Genomic DNA, 5754 nt, shown 5'->3' with positions numbered 1-5754 from the left:
CTGTGAATTGAAACAAAGTTAATCCCACTAGACCATTTTAAGAAGTTGATATAATAGCAAAATTTCTCCCACCCAAAACTATGTCAACAATTGGATGTACTCACCAAGTCACCCTTACTCTGCCACTAATTTATTTCCTTGTTGCTGAAATGATGAGAGATGTATAATCTCCACCCTCACGGAGTTGTCATCACCCTGGAGAGGAAGGAGACAGCCAAAAGAGAGAAGTATTGTCTGGTAGATTTATTAGAGTCACAAAGTATCATCCTTCTCCAGTGTGTAAGGCGTTGTCTAAATAGGTCCAGTTAAAGCACTGCAGGGTAACCATCTTTTAAAAAAATTGTTGGCCACATTTTTAAGTTCACAAGGGAGGGGAAATGTCTCATACTGTAGCCCTCCTGAGTCTAGGCCCTCTGTGAGATGTGCCCATTTCTTGGACACCATATGAGACATTCCCCCTCGGATTAGAGATGCTCAACCTGCATTAACATATCTAAAGTCTACATCTGGCCACTCTAGGGTGAGTCCTGTTTACAGTGCCCATTCCTGGAGCTTGCCTCTGTTTGCCTTTTGTTTGATTACATGATGCATTACTTTTCCCAATAGGCCAGTGCTAGCATATTGGAAGAGTGATTTAATAAGCTGGCAACCTTGATGCTATCCTACCAATCCAACCTTATTTGCCTCATTTACCATTTCCACTATTGTGGCAGCCAGCCCTCCATTCCAGCCAGAGCAGCCCCTCACCATCCCCCAGTCACACCATCTGCATTTCTGCTTTTGTCTGTGCGTTTGTTCATCTAAAATTCCCTTATTTCACTCTGCCTGTGGGAATCCTATGAATCTCTCAAAAGCCAACTCAAGTTCATCTTTCTGCTTGAAACCTTCCCTGAATATTCCAGCCCTCCTGAGCCTAGTCCCTTTGTGAGATTTGTCCCCATTTCTCGGACACCATATGAGAGACTTCAGAGGCTGAAGTGGGAGGATTGCTTGAGCCTGGGAGGTCGAGGATGCAGTGATCTGTAGTCATACCACTGCACTCTAGCCTGGGCAACAGAGCGAGGCCCTGTCTCAAAAACAGCCACCACCAAAAACTATCTGAGGATTTGAATAGGATTACATTAAATTTGTAGACTAATTTGAGAATTGACATCTGTACAACATTCTAGAAATGTGCTGCCTCATGTACTCATTTCTTTTTAATGTCTTTCAGAAGAGTTTTAGGGTTTTCATCATATAGATTTTATATATTTTTTGTTAGATAAAAGATCTTTGCATTTTTGTTCCTAAATACTCCATACATTTGTATTGCTATTGTAAATGGGATCTTCCTTCCATTTTCTAATTAGTTATTGGTGGTACATGGGAAAAGTAGTTGAGGTCTGTGTGCTGCTGTCTTGATTTTTATATAGCCACTGTATTGAATTCTCATATTACTTCCAGTAAGACAAACTTAGTTGATTCTCTTAGGCTTCCTTGGCTGTCTCACATTTATCATTTCATATGCAAATAATCAGTTTTGTCTCTTCCTTTTCAATACTTATATTCTTTCCTTCCTTTCCTTTTTCTTTTTTTTTCTTCTTTCTCAGGGCCTTGTTGTCACCCAGGCTGGAGAGCAATGGTGTGATCTAGCTCATTGTAACCTCAAGCTCCTGGGCTTAAGGGATCCTCCTGCCTCAGCTTCCTGAGTGGCTGGGACTACAAGCAGGCAGCTAATTAAAAAAAATTTTTTTTGTAGAGACAAGGTCTCGCTATGTTGCCTAGGCTGATTTTCCTGCCACTTTAGAGGAAGGACTTTTTTTCCTACTTTTAAGAGTTTTTTATTAGGAATTGTCTGTTGAATGTTAGCTAAAATAGTCAATAAAATGTATTAAGTGCCAGCTGCATGCAAGACCCTAAGTTAGATACAGTCAGCCCTCTTCATCATCAGGTCCACATCTTCAGATTCAACTAGATGAGGCTGAATATTTGAAAAAAGAAACAATAAAAATACAAATAGAAAAGACAGCATAACAACTGTCACCATTGTACAATATCTATACATTTTATTAGTGATGACTTAAAGTACATGGGGCCAGGTACCGTGGCTCACCCTTGTAATCCCAATACTTTGGGAGGCCAACCTGGGCAGTATAGTGAGAACTTGTCTTTACTAAAAATAAAAATTTTTTTAAAATTAGCCAGGTGTGGTGGTATGCACCTGTAGTCCCAGCTACTCAAGAGGCTGAGGTGGGCGGATCACTGGAACCCAGGAGGTTGAGGCTGCAGTGAGCTGTGATTGTGACACTGCACTCCGGCTGAGCAACAGAGGGTGATCTTGTCTCTAAGTCAATAAAGTATATGGGGGGATGTGTGTTGGTTATACGCAAATACTGCACCATTATATGTAAGGGACTGAGCATCCACAGATTCTGGTATGGCGTGGCAGCGGTATCCTAGAACCAATCCCCTGCAAGATATCAAGGATGACTGAACTGTGGAAGAATCAAAGCACTGTTAAACAGCATACAATTCCTATCTTCAAAAAAGTTATTTCATCAGGTAGATGAGACTTATAATGAATAATGAATAGAAGCAATGAATACAGATTTGGAGATAGTGGTTGTTGTGATGGATAATCTTAATTGCATTTTCTTCCAAAACATATTCATTCTCATAGAAGGGCATCAGAAAAAGATAAAGAAGGATCCTCAATGTCAGGCCGCTGAGCCCAAGCTAAGCCATCGTTAACCCCTGTGATCTGCAGGTATTCGTCCAGGTGGCCTGGAGCAACTGAAGAACCACCAAAAAAATGAAACAGCCAGTTCCTGCCTTCACTGATGACATTCCACCATGGTGATTTGTTCCTGCCCCACCCCAACTAATCAACTGGCCTTGTGACATTCCTCCCCTGGACAATGAGTCTCATGATCTCCCCATCCTGCACCTTGTGACCCCTGCCCTGTCTGCAAGAGATAACTACCTTTAACTGTAATTTTCCACCACCTACCCAAATCCTATAAAGCTGCTCCACCCCATCTCCCTTTGCTGACTCTCTTTGTGGACTCAGTCCACTTGCACCCAAGTGAAATAAACAACCTTGTTGCTCACACAAAGCCTGTTGGTGGACTCTCCTCACATGGACATACGTAACAGTTGGGAGTTCAAGACCAGCCTGACCAACATGGCGAAACCCCGTCTCTACTAAAAATACAAAATTAGCTAGGTGTGGTGGTGCAGGCCTATAATCCCAGCTACCTGGGAGGCTGAGGCAGGAGAATTGCTTGAACCCAGGAGGCGGAGGTTGCAGTGAGCCAAGATCGCACCATTGCACTCCAGCCTGGGCAACAAGAACAAAACTCTGTCTCAAAAAAACAAACAAAAACAAGAAACCATGAAGCTGCATGACAAGGAGTCTTCCAATGAGGATGAGATCTTCAACAGGGACACCAGGTAGACGACAGGGCCCTCACGGTTCCCATCTAAAATGAGGAGGGGGTGAGAAGCTAAATTGCTCCTTTCAAGAATCAAAACCTTGGCACTGTTATTCTTATCCCAGGGACACTGAATCCCCAACAGAGAAGACCCCAACTGGAGAGTCGGCTGCTGAGGGGGAGGAGAGTGAGGCCCTGCTGTAGGAGGAGAACACAGAGTGACTCCAGCCCACATCAGGCCTCCTGCAAAACTACTTATTTTTTCATTCATAATTGAGATTTTATTAGTTGAGGATCAGTACAGACATTTCAATTTGTACACAATTCTTAACACACGTAAAGAAAATCTAAAAAGCCAGGTATTGTAATTCTTTTTTAAAGTTATTCCAGTGACTTTCCAGCTTAAAATTTGGAAGCAAATTTTCCTTAACAGGCTATCAAGTACCAGTATCTTCACATGTTGATCAGCTGTGACATACATCCCAGCAGTTCACAACTGAACTGTTTCAAGCAATTCTCCTGCCTCAGCCTCCCAAGGTTTGTCAGTATACTTTTTTTTTTTTTTTTTTGAGACAGAGTCTTGCTCTTTCACCCAGGCTGGAGTGCAGTGGCACGATCTTGGCTGCAGGTTCAAGGGTTCAAGTGATTCTCCTGCCTCACCCTCCTGAGTAGATGGGATTATAGGTATATGCCACCTCGTCCGGCTAATTTTTGTATTTTTAGTAGACGGGGTTTCACCATGTTGGTCAGGCTGGTCTCGAACTCCTGACCCCGTGATCCACCTGGCTCAGCCTCCGGAAGTGCTGGGATTACAGCCGTGAGCCACTGTGCCTGGCCTACTGTCTAGTTTTTTAAAAAATTATGATAGCCATCACTGTGGGTAAGAAGTGGGAGCTCATCGTGGTTCTGATCTATGTTTCCCTGACAGTTAATGAAGTTGAACATCTTTCCATGTGTGTATTGGCCATTTGTGTATCTTCTTTGGAGAAATGTCTATTCCAAACCTTTGGCTTTTTTTTTTTTTTTTTTTTTTTTTTGAGACAGGATCTCACTGTGTTGTACAGACTGGAGTGCAGTGGCATGATCACAGCTCACTGCAGCCTCAACCTCCCGACCTCAAGTGATTCTCCCACCTCAGCCTCCCACGTAGCTGGGATTATAGGCATGCGGCACCATGACCAGCTAATTTTTTGTAGAGATGGGGCTTTGTGATGTTGCCAGGATGGTCTCAAATTCCTGGGCTCAAGTGATCCTCCCGCTTCAACCTCTAAAAGTGCCAGGATTACAAGTGTTAGCCACCACATTCAGCCTACCTTTGCCCATTTTAAAACTATGTTTTGTTGTTGTTGTTGTTGGATTATAATAGTACTTTTTTTCTCTTCTTTTTTATTTATTTTTGAGACAGAGCCTTGCTCTGTCACCCAGGCTGGAGTGCAGTGGCATGATCTCAGCTCACTGCAGCCTCAACTTTCCAGGCTCAGGTGCTCCTCCCACCTTAGCCTCCTGAGTAGCTGGGACTACAGGCTCACACCACCAAGACCAGCTAATTTTTTTTATATTTTTTATAGAGACGAGGTTTCACCATGTTGCCCAGGCTAGTTCTTTAAATCGTATATATTCTGGATACTAGAACCTTACCAGATACATGATTTACAAATATTTTCTCCCATTCTGTTCACTCTTTTGATGGTATTGTTGGCAGCATAAAAGCTTCTAATTTTGATGTAGTTCAATATATCTAGTTTTTGTCACTTGTGCTTTTGGTGTGGTATCTAAGTACCCATTACCTAATCCAAGGTCACGAAGATTTACTTCCATGATTTCTTCTAAGAATGTTATTTTAGCTCTTACATGTGAGTCTGTGGTCCATCTTGAGTTAACTTCTGTGTATCAAGGATGCAGATACCCAGTAGAACCAGCACCATTTGTTAAAAAGGCCGTCCTTTCCCCCATTGAATTGCCCCACTTTCTCCGTTAAAAACTTTTTGAGGAATGATGTATCTAAAGTACCAGATCTTCAGTGTCCTCCACCTTGGTGAGTATTTACCTATGATGTGCACCCTGTGACCACCACCTAGATCAAGATCTAGAACATGTCTAGCCCACCAGAGGCTCCTGTGTACCTTCTCCCAGTCATTGTGCCCCTTGAAAACCACCATTCTGACTTCTAGAGCCGTGCGTTAGTTTTTCCTGTTGTTGAACCTCACGCCTATAAATGGAATCACACAGTATGTACTCTTTTGTATCTGGTTTCTTTCACTGAACACTACATCTGTGAGCTTCAGCTGTACATACAGCATAAGACTGTAGTTCATTCTTTTCCATTGTTCTGTAATACTCC

The 5754-nt window shown here is 42.6% G+C and overlaps 1 long non-coding RNA gene across 1 annotated transcript in view; it reads right to left on the bottom strand.

Annotated features, from left to right (window-relative positions):
* Positions 1-5754, bottom strand: part of LINC00674 (long intergenic non-protein coding RNA 674) — a 34375-nt gene that overhangs the window by 10345 nt on the left and 18276 nt on the right. The window contains exon 5 of the long non-coding RNA NR_027418.1: positions 105-195. This is a non-coding gene — a long non-coding RNA (long intergenic non-protein coding RNA 674). The remainder of the gene's footprint in view (positions 1-104; positions 196-5754) is intronic.

The sequence above is a fragment of the Homo sapiens genome, chromosome 17 (genome assembly GCF_000001405.40).
Source record: "Homo sapiens chromosome 17, GRCh38.p14 Primary Assembly".
Lineage (NCBI taxonomy): Eukaryota > Metazoa > Chordata > Mammalia > Primates > Hominidae > Homo > Homo sapiens.
Note: the sequence above shows the minus strand (reverse complement) of the source record. Positions and strands in the feature narration are given on the sequence as shown.